Source organism: Homo sapiens, chromosome 4 (genome assembly GCF_000001405.40).
Source record: "Homo sapiens chromosome 4, GRCh38.p14 Primary Assembly".
NCBI classification, from domain to species: domain Eukaryota; kingdom Metazoa; phylum Chordata; class Mammalia; order Primates; family Hominidae; genus Homo; species Homo sapiens.
Genome location: NC_000004.12, coordinates 142,266,388 through 142,286,815, shown reverse-complemented (window position 1 = coordinate 142,286,815; position 20,428 = coordinate 142,266,388). Strand labels below are relative to the sequence as shown.

General features: G+C 35.8%; 1 protein-coding gene across 64 annotated transcripts in view; it reads left to right on the top strand.

Annotated features, from left to right (window-relative positions):
- Positions 1 to 20,428, top strand: part of INPP4B (inositol polyphosphate-4-phosphatase type II B) — an 823,376-nt gene that overhangs the window by 559,720 nt on the left and 243,228 nt on the right. For all 64 annotated transcript variants that reach the window (NR_169617.1, NR_169615.1, NR_169599.1 and 61 more), the window contains one exon: positions 16,042 to 16,153. Coding sequence is in view for 53 of the 64 variants with exons in the window: in NM_003866.3 (NP_003857.2) it covers positions 16,042 to 16,153 (112 nt within the window). In the remaining 11 variants the exon portion in view is untranslated. The remainder of the gene's footprint in view (positions 1 to 16,041; positions 16,154 to 20,428) is intronic.

The following is a 20,428-nucleotide window of genomic DNA, read 5'->3' as shown; positions in this document are numbered from 1 at the left end:
ACCACTTTATATTTTGGTTTTCAGAAATAAATTTTTTAAAATTAGATGCATCTTTCTGATTTCTTCTACTCTTGGATAAATCCTAGCACTGCTGATGACTTGTAAGGTGGCCATAAGCCCTTCATGTAACCTCTCCGGGCCTGTTTCTACAAAATGCATTGAGTGATACTGAAGGTTATTCTCTTCCCTAAGAAGTCTGATTTAAGTCAATTCTGATACAAAGAGTTCTAAGAAATTTATCTCAGAGTAAGAAAGAAAAAAGCTATATCCAGGGTTATTTAAAACAAGTAAACCTTTTATTTAAAATACAAATTTCGTATCAATTCTCAAAGATTTACAAAAATATATACAGCAATCTCTCTGGAATTGGAAATTTTAATTCTATAACTTTTAGTTTTTACTGTCTTTCTACTTCCTATTAGAACCTCTATCTGCCAAATACCAAAATATATTCTTTTTCTTACATGGATTCTTTTATTTAGAGATGACAAAGGCCATTTAACTACTAATAGATAAATTTTCTTATAATCGGAAATCTCTAAATAATGTTCTAAAAGTGAGCTATTCATAGAAGAAAGTAGATGGCTTTCCCGTGTACTTTATGTTGAATAAATGGATGCAGGACATTTGATTTATTCCCACTGATCTCTAGAATCTATTTAACATGAATTAAAGCGGAATACTGTTTCCACGTAGCTGAGTATTTTGAACTTTGCTTTAATTACTTTTCCTCCTTTTAACAAAAAAAGTCCTGTAGGAATCTTTATTGTTCTATATAGACTGCTTAAATCGTGATTCAGTCCCATTTTGACCTCTAAAATAATTACCAGATGATTTAGTAATGCAGAGTTAAGACTACAGAGCAGAACAAGTTAAAATCAGGAAATGGAAACTTTCAGATCTTTATATTATTTTAAAATTAATGTTGCCCTGTCTGCCCTTGCATATTTTGCCTAGCTAAACTGAGTTTCTTTATTGTCGTCATAAGTGTTACTCATTCTCAGGTGATTTTTCACCATGCAGAATCCCTGTATTCCTGGGTCATCTTTCATCTGCATGGCGGATCATCCTTCTACCTCTCTGTCCACATCCTACTCTGGCTCTAGCAGCCTCTGCTCTCCAACTTTACTCTGATACGTGAGGTCCATCCTCAGCCCAGTGACCTCTCCTCAATCATTCCCCTTTATTTACCTAGAAACTGGCTTTCTTCCCTGCAACCCTGCCAAGTGGCTGCCCTTCATACCTGGTATAGGATAGGCATCCTCTGAAAACACTTCTGGATTGAGCCTCATGGCCTCAGACATGGTATACCTGAGGCCATGAGCCTCAATCCTTAGGTCACCTAGAGATGTCACCTCCCTTCATGGTATATCTGAGGTCATGAGCCTCAATCCATGGCCTCAGATATACCATGTCTGAGGCCATGAACCTCAATTCTTACATCATCTAGAGATGTCACCTCCCCTTATTTCATGAAAATTTTTACTTGGGGTGCACTCTGTCTCAGTTCAGCATTACTCCTCCCAGACTTCTTGTGATTCAGTAGCCACAGGGGTGCCCTTTTCTTAGCTCAATGGCCTCTCAGGCTTTTCTCTGCCCTATTTGAGTACCCATTCTCATTGTCATCTCCGAGATCTCATCATTAATCCCAATGCTCCAGAGTCTCAATTTTAAGCATCCTATTTTCTGAGTTCTATCACCTCTCTTTCCAGTACACTCCCTCCAGTTGCTCTTTGACTGTCCCGAGTCATTGATGTGAAGTCCTGCTCTGTCCTACACAGCCCCTCCCCCACATCCACTTTTCTTATCCATCACTGAGAAATCACAAAACGATTCCCTCGCATATACCCTCAACTCCTGTGCCCCGCTATCCTGTTGCTATATTCCACAAGCAAAATATAAATTGATTAACTGATTAATTCACTGATTTAAAAATTACAACAAAAACTGTGGCTAAGCCCAGAGTTTCGCATACCTATTTCACACTTGTATTGCTGTAGCTGAACAGGCTGGGGAAACTTGACTTCCGTGCTTACAGGTTTTATTTGGTACACGACCCCTAGTTATACCTAGCAAGGGTATAGGTACCCTTGCTAATACTGTACCCACTATGCTCCCCTGATTCATTCACTCTCCCACTTTCTGGGACCACTATTTTACACCTCCACATTCCTAAAAGCTCTAAAATATCTCTCCTCTTCCTCTTTCTCTGCTGATTTATAGTTTCTGTTTCACTGAGAAGAAGAATCTGACAAGTTCCCACTCCACATTTACCAACCTATCAGCTGATTTATCTGATTTTCATTTCCCTGAGAAGGAAAATTTGACAATTTCCCATGCCATGTTTACTAGTCTACCTGCACCTTCTCTACCTTTCTTCCTGTTATTATACAAAAACTCCCTTTTCGTTTCTAAAGTCAACTCGTCTTCTGTCTAGTGTTTTAGATTCTATCTCTTCTCACTTATTTGAGAACATTATTCCAGCACTTATGTCATTTTTCTTTTGCATCATAAATTATTTTCTCTGCTAGATCATGTGTATCAGCGTTAAAAAATGCCATCAAATCTCCTGTTTATCTTTCTAACTTATGTCCCATTTCTCTGGTCCTCTTTATAGCAGAACCAGAGTAAGAACTATGTCTACTTTGCCTCCCTCCTCTGATTGTCTTTTGAATCTATTCTCATCAGGTTTTCATTCCTATTACTTTAGCAGCTAAACAGCATTTGTCATGATCAGTAATGGCTCCATATTGCTAAATCCAAAGGATAATTGTCAGTGTTCCTCTTCCTTGGGATATCTGCCCAGTGGATCAATTGCTCACTCCTCAAAACCTATTCTTCCCTTGTTATCTGGGACACCAGACTTCATTTTCCTGTGGTCATTTCTTCTCTGTTTCTTTTGCTGGTTGCTCCTCATCACTATCACCTATAAATGTTAAAGGGTCCTATACCTCAGTTTAGGATGAAAAGTCTCCTCTTCACTCTTCATTCACTTTCTTCCATCTAGTCTTAAAGCTTTTAATGTCATCTGTATTCTGATGATTCCTATATGCGATGCATCACATAATGATGTTTTGGTCAATGACAGACTGCATATACAACCAATGGTGGTTCCATAAGATTATAACACCATATTTTTGCTCTGCCTTTTCCATGTTTAGGTACACAAGTACTAACCATTGTGTTATAATTGCCCATAGTATTCAGTACAGTAACGTGCTGTACAGCTTTTTAGCCTAGGAGCAAAAGGCTATCCCATATAGCCTAGGTGAGTAGCAGACTATATCATCTAGGTTTATGTAAGTACACTCTATGACATTCACACAAGGACAAAATTGCCTAATGGCATATTTCTTAGAATATATTCTGTCATCTAGCAACGCATGACTGTTCTTATAGCTCTAGCCTTGGCCAATTCCTTGAACTCCTGACTCTAATATCCAACGACCTAATGATAATTGAACACTAAATAAGTGTCTCAAATTTAAAATCTGCTAAACTGAGCTCCTCATTCCTGCCTGCTGCCCACCATGTCCCCAAATTCTGTTTGTCCTCACCATCTCCCCATGTAGGAAATTGCAATGCTACCCTTCCTATTGTTGAGGGAAAAATCCATGTAGTCTCTGATTCCTCTTTCTCATATTCTCTATAGCCAGTCAGTCACAGTATCTTATTAGCTCTACCTTAAAAATAAAACTAAAATCGGATACATCTCCTCTTCCTCCTAATTTCTCCAAACTCATCTTCATGATCCTCTCTGCCCCCTACAGTTTATTTTCCATATTGCAGCCCAAGTTGTGTCTAAAACTTGTCAGTTCAAAATCTTCTGTTGATTATTTGACCTCACTCAAAGTAAAAGGCAAAGGTCTTACAGTGTTTTCTATAGAGCTCTACATCATCTCACTCCCCATTGCTGTGGTAATCAGAATGCTAAGATGTTCCCCAAGATTCTCAGCCCCTGGTGCAGCTGCTCTACATAACACCCGCCCCTTGATTACAGGTTGCACCGTGAATATATGCTGCCTGTAATTATACACAGGTGGCTGGGATAACCATGCATAATAGTGTCTTAGCAGACTGGAGATGGAAATTCTGACCTTGAGGAGGCAAACCACCATGTGAACTGCCAATGTGGAGGGCCTTATGGCAAGAATGGCCTTGAGACTGAGTGTTATCCTGATAACCAACAAGAAAATGCGAACCTCAGTCTTAAAGCCACAAGAAAATAAGTTCTACCAACAAGCTGAATTAGTTATAACGTGGATTTTTCTAAGACTGCATTCCAGCCTATATCTTGATTTCAACCTTGTTAGGCCCTGAGCAGAGGACTCTGACTGGACTTTTGATTTATAGAAACTGTGAGATAATAAGTCCAGTCAGAGTTTAGGTCAGTGGGTTTATGGAAATTTGTTATGTAGCAATGGAGAACTAATACATACCCATCTGATTTGGTCTTCTAGTCCTTTCTTCCCCACCTATCTAGCTTTAGCCACATTGGCATCTTTGCTGTTTCTCAAATAGGGTAACCAGGATTCACTTCAAGGCTTTGGGATCATCTGCTTCTTTCTGCAAAAATCTTGCCCCAAGAAGGATGTATGACTCATTTCTTTACACTTTAGGTGTGTGTTCAAATGTCATCTTATTAAAAAGCCTTTCCCAACCACTGAAAACAAAGTAGCAGCCCCAACACAGCACTCATCCACCTTTTACCCTGCTTAATTTTTCTCCATGGCACTTGTCATATTTTGACATATCACATTTGTTTATCACTAGAATATAAGTTCCATGCGGGCAGAGAATTTTGTTCTGTTACATTATTGTGCATGGATTAGCGTTTAATAGTACTAGTAAGTGCTTAATAAATATTTGTAAATTAGTATTTTCTGTAATTTTGACCTTAATTTTACATCTTTATGGTGTTTTATGTATTTTAAAATGATTTTATTATGTGTTGTCAGAGTAAATGAGAATTTAAAAAATTTAAAAATCACAGGATTTTATAACTGAGTGACAAACATTTAAAACAAATCCTAATGCAATTAAGCATAAAAATACAGGGATTAAGAATTGCTCAGTTTCAGAGTACATGCCTCATTGTGTAATTTAAAGCTCAGTGAATTTCTGGGTGCACAGGTTTGAAATACATTACACTCTAAAATTATGTTCAACACTGTATAACGTTGACCTTTTAATACTAGCTGTTATTTTAGAGATTTCTTTGCATTCTTTCCTACCATTAAAAAGACATAAAACCCAAAAGCATACAAATTCTCTATATATAATTCCAAATTTGAATATTAAATATTGTCACATCACTAGCATTTAATACTGATTGTTTAATAATTTAATACTCCAGTTCTCCATACCTGTTATCTATGGAAAGTTTTCAGAGTGTCTAAAAGCATTTTGATTGGTTTTGTAATGTTTACAAACCATTCATGTAAAAAGTTTTTGTTGAAGAAGCAAAAAAAAAAAAATGCTTAGCTATCTATCCAGACTGTTTTCACCTGGCCTTATAAGTGTATCTATTTTTTGCTTCTGAAAATTTCCACAGGAAGTCAGGTATTCCCAGTCATCTATCTATAACCTCCTATAACATATTTCTTTCTTGCCACAATCATCTTCCTCTCCCAATAGTCTGTGTTTAAAAGGTGTAGCACTCTTTTCCTCTTTCTCTTACTCAAAACTAAAAATACAAAAAAAAAAAATGAAATAAATGAACTTAACAAAAAGTCTCAGGAACAGTTTCTTTTCTGTAGGTCTAAATGTGATAATTTTAGATGATAGGTGGCCAGCTGATTTATGCATCACTGGCTTGGTAAATATATTGCACCTCCTGAATGAGAATCTAGTCTGTTATGAAATGCTTCCTACTATTCAGGTGAAATTTCTTCCTTTCCTATATGAAATTTCTAATGTCTTTAGATATTTTGAATTTATAGTGCATGGGATAAAATCCATACTTTAATCCAACATTCCAAGTAAATGTCAGAAATTTGCTTGACATGGAAGAGGATAACATTTTAATAATGTGGTTTCTGTATGCCCAGACTAAATGGCTGTGCGATTTTTTTGTTTGTTTGTTTGGTATTGATTTATTATCGGAGAAAATGGATGTGTCCTTTCTCATTTATCCCATTTTATACATTAACATAGAGTAAAATTGACTTTTTATTGTTGTACAGTTCTATGAATTTTAACACATGTATGAACAGAGTCCGTATCCACAGTCCAGATACAGAACTTTTCCATTACCACAAAGAAACCCCTTCACACCCACACCAACCCCTGGCCACCACTGATCTGTTGTCCATCAAAATAGCTATTCCTTTTTGAGAATGAAATTGAATAAATTGAATTGTATAGTATATAATCTTTTGGGATAACTTCATTCATTCAGTCCAATGTCTTTACAATTCATCCAAGTTGGTGGTGTATCAACAGTTTCTTTTTATTGCCAAATTAATATTGCATGTTGTGGATACAACAAAGTTTGTTTAACCATTTACATTAAAGGATATTTCTATTGTTTCCAGTTTTTTGGCTATTATGAATGAAGCTGCTGAATTTCTCATGTATAGGTTTTTATGTGACCCTAAGTTTTCATTTCTCTAGGGTAAATATTTAGAATTGGGATTGCTGGTTTATGTAAGTGTGTGTTTAACTTTATAAAAAGCAGCTGAGCTGTTTTTCCTTACAGAGATGTATGAGAGTTTCAGTCAGTCTTCATCCTTGCCAGCCATTGTAAGGGTGTTAAAGTGGCGTCTCATAGTAGTTTTAATTTTAATTAAAACTTAATGGCCAATAATGTTCAACATCTTTGGATGTGCTATTTGCCATCCATATATCCTTTTTTGAAACATATCTGTTCAAGTGTTTGGATCATTGATTAATTGGGTTGGTTGTTTTCTTACAACTTTAGAATTTTAAGAGCTCTTTATATACTTTGGATACAAGTTCTTTGTTAGATATGTGATTTGCAAATGTTTTCTCCAAGTCAGTAGCTTGTCTTTTTATTATTGTAACCATGTCTTTGACAGAGCAAATTTGCAGTTTTGACAAGCTTTATTTTATTGAGGTTTTTCTTTTATAGATCATGACTTTGGTGTCACACTAAAGAACTCTAAGAACCTAAGTCCAGTTCACAGAAATTTTTTCCTGGGTCACTTTTAAAGTGTTACATTTTTATGTTTTACATTTAGGTATATGAACTACTTTAAGTTAACTGCTTTTGTTTAATTTGTAAAGTTTAAGCAGAGTTTATTTTTTTTCCAAATGGATGTTTAATTGTTCCAATACCATCTGTTGAAAAGACTACTTTTAGTTCATTCCATTGCCTGTAACTTTGTCAAAAATCAATTGGTTATATTTTCTATTTGTCAGTTTGTCTGTCCTATTTCAAAACCAGAGTTTAATTACTCTAGATTTACAATGTATCTTAAAATCAGTTAGTTCAATTCCTTCATTTTATTTTTTCCAATACTGTTTTGTCTTTCCTTGTTACTTGTCAAATCAGCTTGTTGATATCTGCAAGAAATCTTACTGGAATTTTGATTGGTATTACATTAAATCTGTAGATGACTTTGAGGAGAATTGACAGCTTTTAAAGTTGCATCTTCCAATCCATTATCATAGTATATGTCTATATGTCTATTTATTTAGACCTTCTTTGAATTTTTTATTAGTATTTATAGTTTTCAGCATAAAGATCTTACATATATTTTGTTATAGTCACTCCTAAACATTTTATTTATTTTGGATCTACTGAATTTTTAAAATTTCAATTTCTAATTGTTCATTGCCAGATATTTGTGCATTAACCTTGTGTCCTGTGAAACCTGTGGTTTCAATCTCACTTCTGTTTTCCAAATTTTTATAGTGTTATTCAGACCTGTTCCTCATACTTGTCATCCAGGTGACAGCCAAGACCTTTGTGGTGTTCTGGTTCATAGATTATTTCTCAAAGTCTCTTACATACTTTTCAGTATCAGATCTTTCCATGCACAACTTTGGGTGAGCCCAGAGTTCATGAACAATATTAAGAAGTCACTTTCTGGAGCTTCCCCCTCTCCACAATCTCCTCCATACTTCCTGTTTCCTGTGGCTTCCCTTTTTGATCCTCCAACCAGTAAGCTTGGGTTTATTTACCTACTCTCCTGTACAACTCCACTTTCTTCCTGGGGCCATGAGAATAGAGAAAAATAAAAGGTAAGGGGAATTCGCCACACTATCTTGGGATCATAGCTTCTCCAATCAGAGAGGTAACTTTTTGCCCCTCATAGTTTTAGGTCCCTGTGAGCCCTAAATACTGCCATCATTGCCACTGCAAGACTACTTGAGAGCTGGGGCATGAGAGAGTGGAGAGAGAAAAAAGGATCTCCCTTCATTTTTCTGAGTATTAGGAGACCACTTTCCTGCCCATGAGTCAGAACTAAAAGAATTCTCCTGGAGCTCTCTCTGTCTACACTAATGCCCACACTTGCATTTCAAGCTGTGTCTAATCTAGGTTGGGAGAAACCAAAGGGGAAGAAATGGTAAACTCACTGCTGGTTCAATGATATTTAAGATTCTGATCTCCTTCCCCAATATGCATGGTGCTATTTAGTTTTGGTCCTCAAATGGCTGCTCCTTGTGTTCCGTTTAGGTTTTATAGCTGCATTCAGTGTGCACAATGCTGTAGAGTGTGCATACTCCATGTTACCTGCAACTGGAACCCAATGGGCAGATCATGATGGCCATCCATTTATTATTATTATTTTTAAATAGGTGTTTGAGGAGCAGATGGTGTTTGGTTATATGAATAAGTTTGTTAGTGGTGATTTCTGTGATTTTGGTGCACCCATCATCCGAGCAGTGCAACTGTACCCAATGTATAATCTTTTACCACTCACTCCCCTCTTACCCTTTCCCCCAAGTTGCTAAAGTCCATTGTACCATTCTTGTGCCTTTGCGTCCTCATAGCTTAACTCCCACCTATTAGTGAGAACATACGATGTTTGGTTTTCCATTCCTGAGTTACTTCACTTAGAATAATGGTCTCCAATTCCATCCAGGTTGCTGCAAATGCCATTATTTTGTTCCTTTTTGTGACTGAGTAGTATTCCATGGTGTGTGTGTGTGTGTGTGTGTGTGTATGTGTGTGTGTGTATGATATTTTCTTTATCCACCCATTGATAGATGGGCATTTGGGCTGGCTCCATATTTTTGTGATTGTGAATTGTGCTGCTATAAACATGCACGTGCAAGTATCTTTCTTATAGTGAGTTATTTTCCTCTGGGTAGATACCTGGTAGTGGGATTGCTGGATCAAATGGTAGATCTACTTTTAGTTCTTTCTACACTGTTTTCCATAGTGGTTATACTAGTTTACATTCCCACCAACAGTGTGAAAGTGTTCCCTTTTCACCACAACCACGTCAACACCTATTACTTTTTTTATTATGGCAATAAAACAAAGATAAATAGATGGGACTTAGTTAAACTAAAAAACTTCTGCACAGCAAAAGAAATAGTCAGGAGAGTAAATAGACAACCCATAGAGTGGGAGAAAAATCTTTGTAATGTATATGTCCGACAAAGGACTAATATCCAAAATCCAGAAGAAACTCAAACAAATCAGCAAGAAAAAAAAAAAAGAACAATCCCATCAAAAAGTGGGCTAAGGACATGAATAGACAATTCTCTAAAGAAGATATACAAATGACTAACAAACATATAAAAAAATGCTCAGCATCACTAATTATCAGGGAAATGCAAATCAAAATCACAATGCAACACCACCTAACTCCTGGAAGAATGGCCTGTTAATTTTAATGCAATTTTGGAAATCTGACGACATTTGCAAGATGCCAACCTTGTTTTCTCACCTTGCTGATAAAATATTTCTTAATTCAAGGAGCTAGAGCTGGTTTATATTTTACATTTAGCATTGAAATGTTTCCAAATATATATTTTTAATAGTGTCATGAGGAAGGTAAAAATTGCTTTATCTTATTTGTATTTGTATAATTCCTCATATTTGGAGAGTACTGTTTATAGCAGTAAACAGTAATCTACAAGCCAGTTAGTCTGAAAAACTGATGATCAACATTTCTACGTCATGCTCTTGAAGCTTTGTGGCCCAGGCTATATAAATGATACTACTCATTTCCATATACTGAAGAATTTTTATATTTAAACCTAAGAACTTTTCTTTTTGATCACATAAGTCTTGTGAGATAAGTAGGATGGTTTACAATCTTTATATTTTATAGCTGGAAAATCTTTACAGAGGCTGAGTTGCCTGCTCATAATTACATAGCTGTTTACTGTATAGAGTCAGCACTATAACCAAGGGCTTTGTTACTCAACATTCACTGTGCTTTCCACTAAACCATACTTCATTATTTAATGGTATGTGATGAGGTGGATCAGTGTGAGCCAAAAATACTGAGTGTCCATAAACTTTGACAGATCCTGATACAAAGACTTGAAAGACAGGCTATGTAGTTAAGCCCCTTTAAGTACTGGGCAATGTCTAAGGACTTTTAATAGGAAAAAAATAAAATAGTGAAAGTAGAGCTTTAAGATGAAAACTTGACATGAATGAAATGGAAGGAACAGATACTGGAGGAAGGGAAGTAGGTTCTTCAGGTATAACACAGGAGAAGTAATAAAACTAATTGGAATGTTGCTATTGGGAGGGGACACATGAAATAGACATTATGGAGGAAGAATTGGTAGGACTTAGTGACTGATTAGAGGGGAAGGGCAAGGCAGAGGTAGAGGAGGAATATTTTTGGTTTTGGTTTTTGGAGAATGATGTGCTACTAATGTGGGTGAATTTGGGTTTGAGAGAATGAAAGGTTAGGTCTCAAGCTTGTAGAATGTAAAATGAGATCAGAATAAAGGGAATTTGGAGTTCTAGATCAGAAAATCAAGATCAAGTTGGGAATATGGGATTGGGGTAGATCTTCATAAAAGGAGAGTTAAAGTTCATGATGATGGATGGAATGTCTGAAGGTGAGCCTATACTGAGAAAAGAGCAGAAAACTGAGAAATAAACCCTAGAGTTTAAGCTATTAATATTAAACAATACTGAAAAGCTTTATTTTACTATTAATTTGAAAGCATTATATGGCTTCTGACATTTGTGAATTTCAGCCAGAATAGAGGTGTGTTTAGTTATACATACTTAAATATAAATCTAACTTCTGTGAGCCCTATGTAAATCCTGCACTGCTGTATAATTATATTCACCAGAAAGATCATCAGGGTGCAGTCACTCACTCAGTGAATCTGTTTGTTTACTTATGGCCCTTGTTTATTTTTATGTTTGGGTGAGATTTTCATTTCTGCTTACATGTCTAGATGGTTTAAATGCAGGGCATGTCTCCTAGCTGAAGACTCCTGTGCATAGTACCAGAACTACTTTATATTCACAAAGGCTGACAGTGCTAATGATGGTTTGTCCCTAGGTGTTTACAGAGTCATTTTTTGGTTTGTATCTCTGTGGCATTTCCAAAATCGAGAAGTTATTTACATTTTGCTGTTTAATACTTCTGGAGATGTTTTTCTTTTTTCTTTTTTTCCCTCTATTAATGATGGCAGAATTGGTGAGAAAGAAGTTTTGAAAAAGTGTCATTAAATTATCCTTTGTTAGAAGACTGTTTTATATTCCCTTTCCTTTAGTCTTCTAAAAATATTAATGTGTTCCAGCATGTGAGATTGAATATTTCATTAGGAAGTATTAGGGGAGCCATTTTAAAGGCAGATTTTAAGGAACCTTAATCACCAATATATTATGTATGCTGAAAACTTAGGTAAGAAGGGAGTGTAGATTTGTGTTGCTGAAATTTTCCCGATCTTTGTCTTCTATATCTTTTTGTTGTGGTTAAATATTTAAGTCTATCTTCTGAGGGAAAGAGAAACTTGACATTGTGATTGAAATACTGCAGCAGCCATGAACTGCTTATCTTTTACTTCTCTCTCTGCTTTCTGCGTTAAACAGTGGTAATGACCTGGCAATACACTATCTGAAATGACATGGTTTTTTTCCTTAAGTAGATTGAGATACTGATTACTGCAGCCCCATCTTATTGCTACATGAATTGCTAGGAAAGGTAAGAGTATGAAGATCACTTCTGTTTTTGGTTCAATCAAATTTGTATCCTTGTAAACATACCAAGATCCAATGTCATAATTGCTATATACATCTGTATGACATATATAATATGATATTATAAGAAAAGCTAGCTCTTTTTTAATTTGGATATAAGTGCTAAGTCACTTTCCAGATTTGTCATACATTTGGTTTGTTTGGCAGAAAGTGGAATGGGAAGGTGTAGAGTGAGGAAGAGAAGCTAGAATTGACCTGAGATTTTTGTTGAGTCCATATCAATCTGTGATGCCCTATGATGAAATCACAGGAGTTATTAGAGCATGGGGTTTGAGTGCTAATAGTATGGAACAGCTGTTAGAGACCAACTCTTTGTTTTACAGTAATAGAAACAAATCCAGAGAACTGAAGTGATATGCACTTAGTCACATAGCTAGTTAGTGGATGAGTCAGAAGTAGAACCTGGATTTCTTGATTCCTAGCACAGAACTCTCTTTAATATATTTTCTACGCAGATGTGATGAATTTCCATAAGGTAAAATTCAGTAGAATTTTGGTGATGAATAATGATTAAGCTATTATTACTAGCCTTTCCAACTTGATAGGTGATAAATTGAAAGCATAATTTAGCATTTAAGAATTTTTTTTCCTAAATCTTTAAGACATCTTTGAAAAAATCTTTGGAAACATGAAATAGATATTTCATTTGTGACTCTCCTAATTGACAAGAAGTGTGGATACCTGTATTCTTTGTATGGTAAATTTTAACAGAATAAATAGAGAGTGGCTTCTACATTTTACATTCTAGTTCAGTGACAGGGTGAACCATACTTTTGGATGTCTTGTGTTTAGTTCTTTAGTTTATAACCTGGATTTACCATTCTGTTTTTTCCACAAAGTTCAATTGAGGAAACATGCTTTAGGGCATGTAAAAAAGCTGCCCATCCAAAATGGTTTTGGGGAGAAATTTATGCTAGAATTCTATAGCATCACTAGATTAAGCATGTTCCTTGCTTTGATTCCACCCAGGCACTAAGTGAAAGCCTATAGAAGATAAGGAAAAATAGGAAACCCAAAAGGAAGGAAAATCATTGAAAAAGTAGCCAAATGCTTTAAGAAAGGGAATAGATAGAGCTATAGTTCCAAAGTTTACTCCCATATTTCATTGATTATTCATCTATTTTAGTATTTTTGAATGATTCACTTGCATTATAATTAGTAAATTTGTGTTCTCTGCACTTCTAGGAATGTAAACATCATAACATCCTCTTATTACAAAGTCTTTGTATCCCCAGTAAGCATTGAATCACTGTTGAGATAGCATATGCCATGAGACCTTATAGCCTTTCACTATAGTCTCAGATATCGATTTCAGTAAAATTTCTTGAGAGCATCAAATTAAATATAATTTAATACATTAATAAAAGTAGCAATTCTGGTTTTGCTGCTACTGTTACTGTTCCAATACTACCATTAGGATGATGGGGCAGAAGTGGTAATTATCTTGTGTAAGACATTGTGTTGAGCACTTTACATTAATTATCTCCCATAATTTAATTCTTAAACAAGGCTATTGTCATCTCCATTTTACAAATAAGAAAATCAAAGATTCACATGGGTAAATGACTTGCCCAAAGTCACACAGCTAGCAGATAACTCAAACTCTTGAGTTCACACTTTTAACCAATATGACATATACGGTTTATTACACAGCTCTTCTGTTGCAAATCAGTAGGTGCATTATTTGGATTAGTTCAGTGAAAAAATTTAGAATATCATACGTAGGCCTTGTGCTTCTAGCAATTAAGCTAACTTAGCTTGCCCAAGTAAAAAGTTTAAAACAAGCCTTTTGAGAAGAAAAACGTGTTTAGTTTTTATAGATAAGCAGTTTTGATGAAAAAGAAATCTGCAAATATCTATAAAATTAACTTTTAAGTAGTACCCATGAAGGTCCTTATTATATGCTTTATTTAACTACTAAGTACTGAAGAATTATACAGAAACATGCTGCACCATGACTTATGACAAGTTATTGTGTCATATTCAAATGAGAATATGACACACTGGAAAACTGATATAATGAATTATTTAAAGCCATCCCAGGATTAGAGTTAATATAGTTTTCTTCACAGATCATGCTGTCACCTGCCTACACATCTTCTTTGTGATAAATACTTGCTCTCTATATTAATTTCAAACAACTGAATCAACATTATAATTTCCACTGATTTCAAAATCACCAAGAAGCATTTCACTTTTTATTTTAGTAAGAAATCTATTTAACAATAAATCACTTTTATTTTTAATTTTTTTATTTTATTGCACTATGAAATCAGCTGTGTACATGCTATCAGAAATTTTCTCTTTTAATTTTCTTAAAAACATAATTCAAAAGTCGTGTTTTAATTTGTACCTTATCTAGTAATAGAATCAGCGTTTCTTTTCACCTAATTTATTGGTTATTTTAATTAGCATTTTGGTAAACTACTCATAGAAATGCCCCTTCTGCTTTCTGACACTTTTAATACTAAAAAAAAGCAGCATTTAGAAGGAATTAGTTAAAAGAAAGACAACATTGGTGTTCAGCTAAAAGTTGAAAACAAATTTCATGAAAGATGTGACTAATGAAGAAAATGAGACGTCACATGACTATTCAGTTAATTCTACTGAAATAGAAGTGACAGCAACACATCATATCTATGAGGTGGCTTGCTACCTATTTTCACAAAAGGCTCAAGTGAAAAATATTATATGTGCAGTGTTTCCATGGTATAATGGCACTATTTATTCTGTAGTTTTTCTTGCTCGGAAAAGGAAACTAGAGAATCTTAAAGTGTGGCTCGTAAACTTATCTTTAGCTTTCATTATTATTGCCAAACATAAAATTTTTATGCTGCTAAAAATAATGATGGTGAAAATCTTATATTATTATCATTGAATATAAAAGACTTGTCAATGACTTGGAGAAGATAGAAACCTGAAATTGCCACTTCGTTACCTTGGAAGGGTCTTCTCATCTTTTTGAGTCTCAGTTTCTTTATCTGAAAAAGTAAAGAGTTGTACTAAATGAGCTTTGGGTTATGTTCTGCTTTACATGTTCTTATGTTTGCTAGGAGAGAATCTTTTGTACTTAGTAGCATGTAAACAAAAATGTTAGAGAAAAGGCACAAAGTCAGATTTTGTAGCCAATAGCCCAGTCATAGAGGAAGATAAGAATATTTATACTCTTTTCTATTTTACTTGGCCACAGTTTCTGTGATAGACACATAGGTATCTCATGCAGTTAGTATAGATGGGCTGCAGTTTATGCTGTTTTAGATTTGATGGTTCCAAATGGGGTATTGATCTATGACACAATGTTCTTTCCTTGAGGGCACCTCTGAGAACGTTTAGGAGGTTTCATCTTCCTAAGGTACTTTTCGACAGTCCGTGCTCTTACCTCACACATTCATGGATAATTTTAATTTCAAATGAAAAACAACATGCAGTAGCTCACGTCTGTAATCCCAGCACTTTGGGAGGCCTAGGCGGGTGGATCACCTGAGGTTGGGAGTTTGACACCAGCCTGACCACATGGAGAATACAAAAGTAGCCAGGCATGGTGGCACATGCCTGTAATCCCAGCTACTCGGGAGGCTGAGGCAGAAGAATCTCTTGAATCTGGGAGGTGGAGGTTGTGGTGAGCTGAGATCACGCCATTACACTCCAGCCTGGGCAACAAGAGCAAAACTTGATCTCAAAAAAAAAGAAAAAAGAAAACACACACACACACACACACACACACAAACACCTACCCTATTAACATGTTTTGCTGTGTTTTATGCAGATGTTGTCTTATTAAGTAAATAACAATGCTGGTGGTTTTCAGAAACAAATGTGTTTTGGATATTTTTGGGGGAGAGAGAAGCTTCTTACCTTTCCATTTCGTGTATTTTTTGTTGCAGAACTTCAGATGGTGGCAAAGTGGTTGGCACCATAGAAGTCAGTGTCGTGAAGATGGGGGAGATTGAGGATGGGGAAGCCGACCACATCACCACAGATGTACAGGGACAAAAGGTAGGATCTCAGTCTGCTCATTGTACAAATTAAATTAAAAATGATCAGCTTTGCCAGATGTCTGTCTCACCAACATCTCTGTGGGGTTTGAAATCTCATTATCAAAACCTAAATGGGACAACAGCTCTGAAATTGGAATACAATATGTGTGTTTCAGCCTCTGAATCAAAGGGCCTATTTGCTTGGAACTATGCAAAGCAATGCTCCATTCAGAAGCACCTTCCTCTTCCCTGCCAGCTCCCTGGTTGGCACTGCCTCTTCTCAGTTGGAACAAAAGTATTGATCATTGTCGCATTTTACCATAATTAACTCTATGTGAGATGCCAGAAGATTCTGGGATGGCTATTGCCCAAAATAACTTGTTCTCTACTCCCAAAACCCTCTTTGGAAAGATATGCGATTTTAATTTGTATTTCACCTTTACGTGAAGGAGGGCAGATTTAACAAGAAGTTCCTGCCTTATGAGATTGAGGAGAGAGAAGCAGGAAATAGTATTCATTGAAGGAATAGCTCTGGAGGAGGGACAATGGCAACGGAAGGAGAAGCTGCTTCCTGAAACACAGAATAAAGGCCTGATGCATATAAATATGTGTCCAGGATTCTTTCTTTCTTTCTGTTCCTTTTCACTAAGGCAGAGAAACTATGTAAATATTAGCCTAAATTTATTTCTTAGGAATGCAATTGCCTGTTTTATTGAGACCATTGAAGCACATGGGGTAGACTTAGAAACTGCTAGTAGTTTCTTTTAGGAAAATGAATTTTATACACTATAATTTCTACCTTTTAATAAATGAGCATTTTAAAAAATTATTTTTAATAAACAATCATTGTATATACTTCTGGGGTACAATGTAATGTTTCGATATATATTTACGTTATGGAATGATTAATCAGGTTAATTAACAAATCTATCGCCTCACATACTTATTTTGTGTGTGTGGTAAAAACATTTAAAATTTCTCCTTGCAGCAATTTTGGAATCTACAATGGACTATTATACAGTAACCATTTTGCTCAATAACTCACTAAAGCTTATTCCTCCTGGCTAACGGAAACTTGTACCCTTTGATGAGCACCTCCCATTTCCCTAAACTTTCCCTCCCCCAGCCTCTGGTAACCATCATTCTGCCCTCTACTTCTATGAGTTTGAATCTTTTAGATTCCACAAATGCAAGCTAAAAAAATGACCAAGGCAGGTCTCAATTAATTTAGATGTTTATTTTGCCAAGGTTGAGGCTGCACCTGGGAAAAAACACAAATTAGAGGAGCATCTGTGACCCCTGCCTTTTCCAAAGAGGGTTTTGAGGACTCCGATATGTAAAAGAGAAAGAGTAAGCAGGAAGGGAAGAAGAGAGGAAAAAAGAGGGGGGAGGGTAGGCAATGAGGTAAGTGGTCCCATAGTGAGGCTTTCATTAGTGCTCAGTGAATCTACATTTTATATGTGAAAGGGAGAAGAGGAATAGTCAATTATGCATTCCTCTCATATTCAGTAAATCCACATTTTACTTAAAATAAAAGAAGTCAATTACGTGTTTGGCTCAGGGTGGGCAGAGGGATGATTTTCTAGTCTTGTCCTTGTCCCCTCCCTGTGGACATATAAGCTGTTAATTTACATTGTTAGGGTGAGATTCAACAAAACTCTGTATTAAGGCTATTTTATAGGGGGTTATATATTCTGAAAGAGTTGGGGCCCACAAGGAATTGTGAGCAATTTGTGAAGGAGGGCATCTGGGGAGAGATGTGGGCTTCTATCATTGCAGCTATCTGTTCGTCGGGGGAAAAAAACAAAGGCAGTTTTTTGTGTGTTTCAGTTCCCAATCTTAACTTTCCTTCCGACATAGTGAGTTTGGGGTCCCAAGAATCTCTTTTCTTTCTCAGCATATAAATGAGATGATTCAGTATTTGTTTTGTGCCTGGCATATTTCATTTAGCATAATATCATCCAGGTTTATCCATGTTGTCACTAATGACAGAACTTTCCCCCTTTTCAAAGCTGAATAGTTTTTTATTGTGGTATATACCACATTTCCTTTTTCCATTCATCTGATGATGGACACTAAGATTGCTTCCACATCTTAGTTATTGTGAGTAATGTTGCAGTGAACATGAGTGCAGATATCTCTTTGGCATATTGATTTCAATTCCTTTGGAGTACCCAGAGTGGGATTGCTGGGTTTTATGGTAGTTCTATTTTTAGTTTTCTGAGGAGCCTCCGTATTGTTTTCCATAATGGTTGTATTAATTTACATTCTCAACAGTGCATAAGGGTTCCCTTTAGTTTACACCCTCTACACCCTCACCAGTACTTACCCCTCATTTTTTTTTTTTTTTTTTTTTTTTGAGACGGAGTCTTGCTCTGTCACCCAGGCCAGAGTGCAGTGGCGCGATCTTGGCTCACTTCAAGCTCTGCCTCCTGGGTTCACACCATTCTCCTGCCCCAGCCTCCCGAGTAGCTGGGACTACAGGGACCCGCCACCATGCCCGGCTAATTTTTTGTATCTTTAGTAGAGACGGGGTTTCACCGTGTTAGCCAGGATGGTCTCAGTCTCCTGATTTCGTGATCTGCCTGTCTCAGCCTCCCAAAGTGCTGGGATTACAGGCGTGAGACTCCGTGCCTGGCCTCCCTCATCATTTTGATAATAGTCATTCTGACATGTGTGAAATAGTATCTCATTGTAGTTTTAATTTGCATTTTCCTGGTAATCAGCAATGATGAGCATTTTTTAATATATCCGTTGGCCATTTGTATGTCTTCTTTTGCGAGTGTTTTTTAGGTCCTTTGTCCATTTTTTATTGGGTTGTTTTCTTGCTATTGAGTTTCTTATATATTTTGAATATTAGCTCCTTATCAGGTGTATGGTTTGCAAATATTTTATCCCAATCCATGAGTTGTTTCCTTATTGTTTCCTTTGCTGTGCAGAAGCTTTTTAGTTTGATACAATGCCATTTGCTTATTTTTGCTTTTGTTCCTGTGCTTTTGGGGTCATATTACAGAAATCTTGCCCAGAACAATGTCATGGAGCATTTTTAAATGTTTTCTTCCTAGTACTTTTATAGTTTTAGGGCTTATTTTTCAGTCTTTAACTCATTTTGAGTTGATTTTTGTGCATGAGCATGGCATGAGATAAGGGTCCAATTTTATTTTTCTGCATGTGGACATCTAGTTTTCCAAACACAATTTGTTAAAGAGACTGCCCTTTCTCCATTCTGTGTTTTTGGTACCTTTGTTGAAAACGAATTGCCCATATATGTGTAGATTTATTCATAGGCTTTCTGCCCTGTTCCATCGGTCAATGTGTCTGTTTTTATGCCAGTAACATGCCACTTTGATTATGATAACTTTGCTTTATAATAGATTTTGAAGTCAGCTGACATGATTCCTCCAGTTTTGTTCTCTTTACTCAAGATAACTTTGACTCTTCAAGCTCTTTTGTGGTTTCTTAAGAATTTTAGGATTTTTAACATTTATTTCCGTGAAAAATGACATTGGAATTTTGATAGGGATTCATTTAATCTGTATATTGCTTTGGGTAGTATAGACATTTTAACAGTATTAATTCTTCCAATCCACGAGCATGGGATACTTTTCTATTTATCTGTGTTATCTACAACTTTTTTTCATTAATGTTTTATAGTTTTCAGTACACAGATCTTCCAAATCCTTGGTTAAATTTACTTATAAGTATTTTTTTAAAGTGAATGGGATTGATTTCTTAATTTCTTTTTCAAATAGTTTGCTGTCAGTGTAAAGAAACACTACTGATTTTTGTGAGTTGATTGTGTATCCTTCAACTTTACTGAATTTATCAGTTTTAACTGATTTTTTTTTTCTTTTGGTTGTGTCATTAGGGTTTTCTACATAAAAGATCACGTTATTAGCAAACAAAGACAATTTCCCTTCTTCCTTTCCTATTTGGATATCTTTTATTTCTTTTTCTTGTCTGATTGTTCCAGCTAGAACTTTCAGTATAACATTGAATAGAAGTGGTGAGAATGGACATCTTTGTCTTGTTCTTGATTGTAGAAGAAAAGCTTTATAAATGAACATTAAAAAATTAAGGCCCATTGTGACTTATTTTCTGGTTTAGTGTCTCTTATCTTGGAGCATGTTTGATTTTTCTTACCCAGGAAACTGCTGCATGGAAGATGGTATTTATCCAACACGTAACAAATTATTAACTTTACAAAAATATCAAATATTTTCTTTCAATTTTTTTTTCTTTTTCCCAGAATAGGCTAGGGTCTTCTCTGCTACCCTAAACCTTGTTCTTCTCT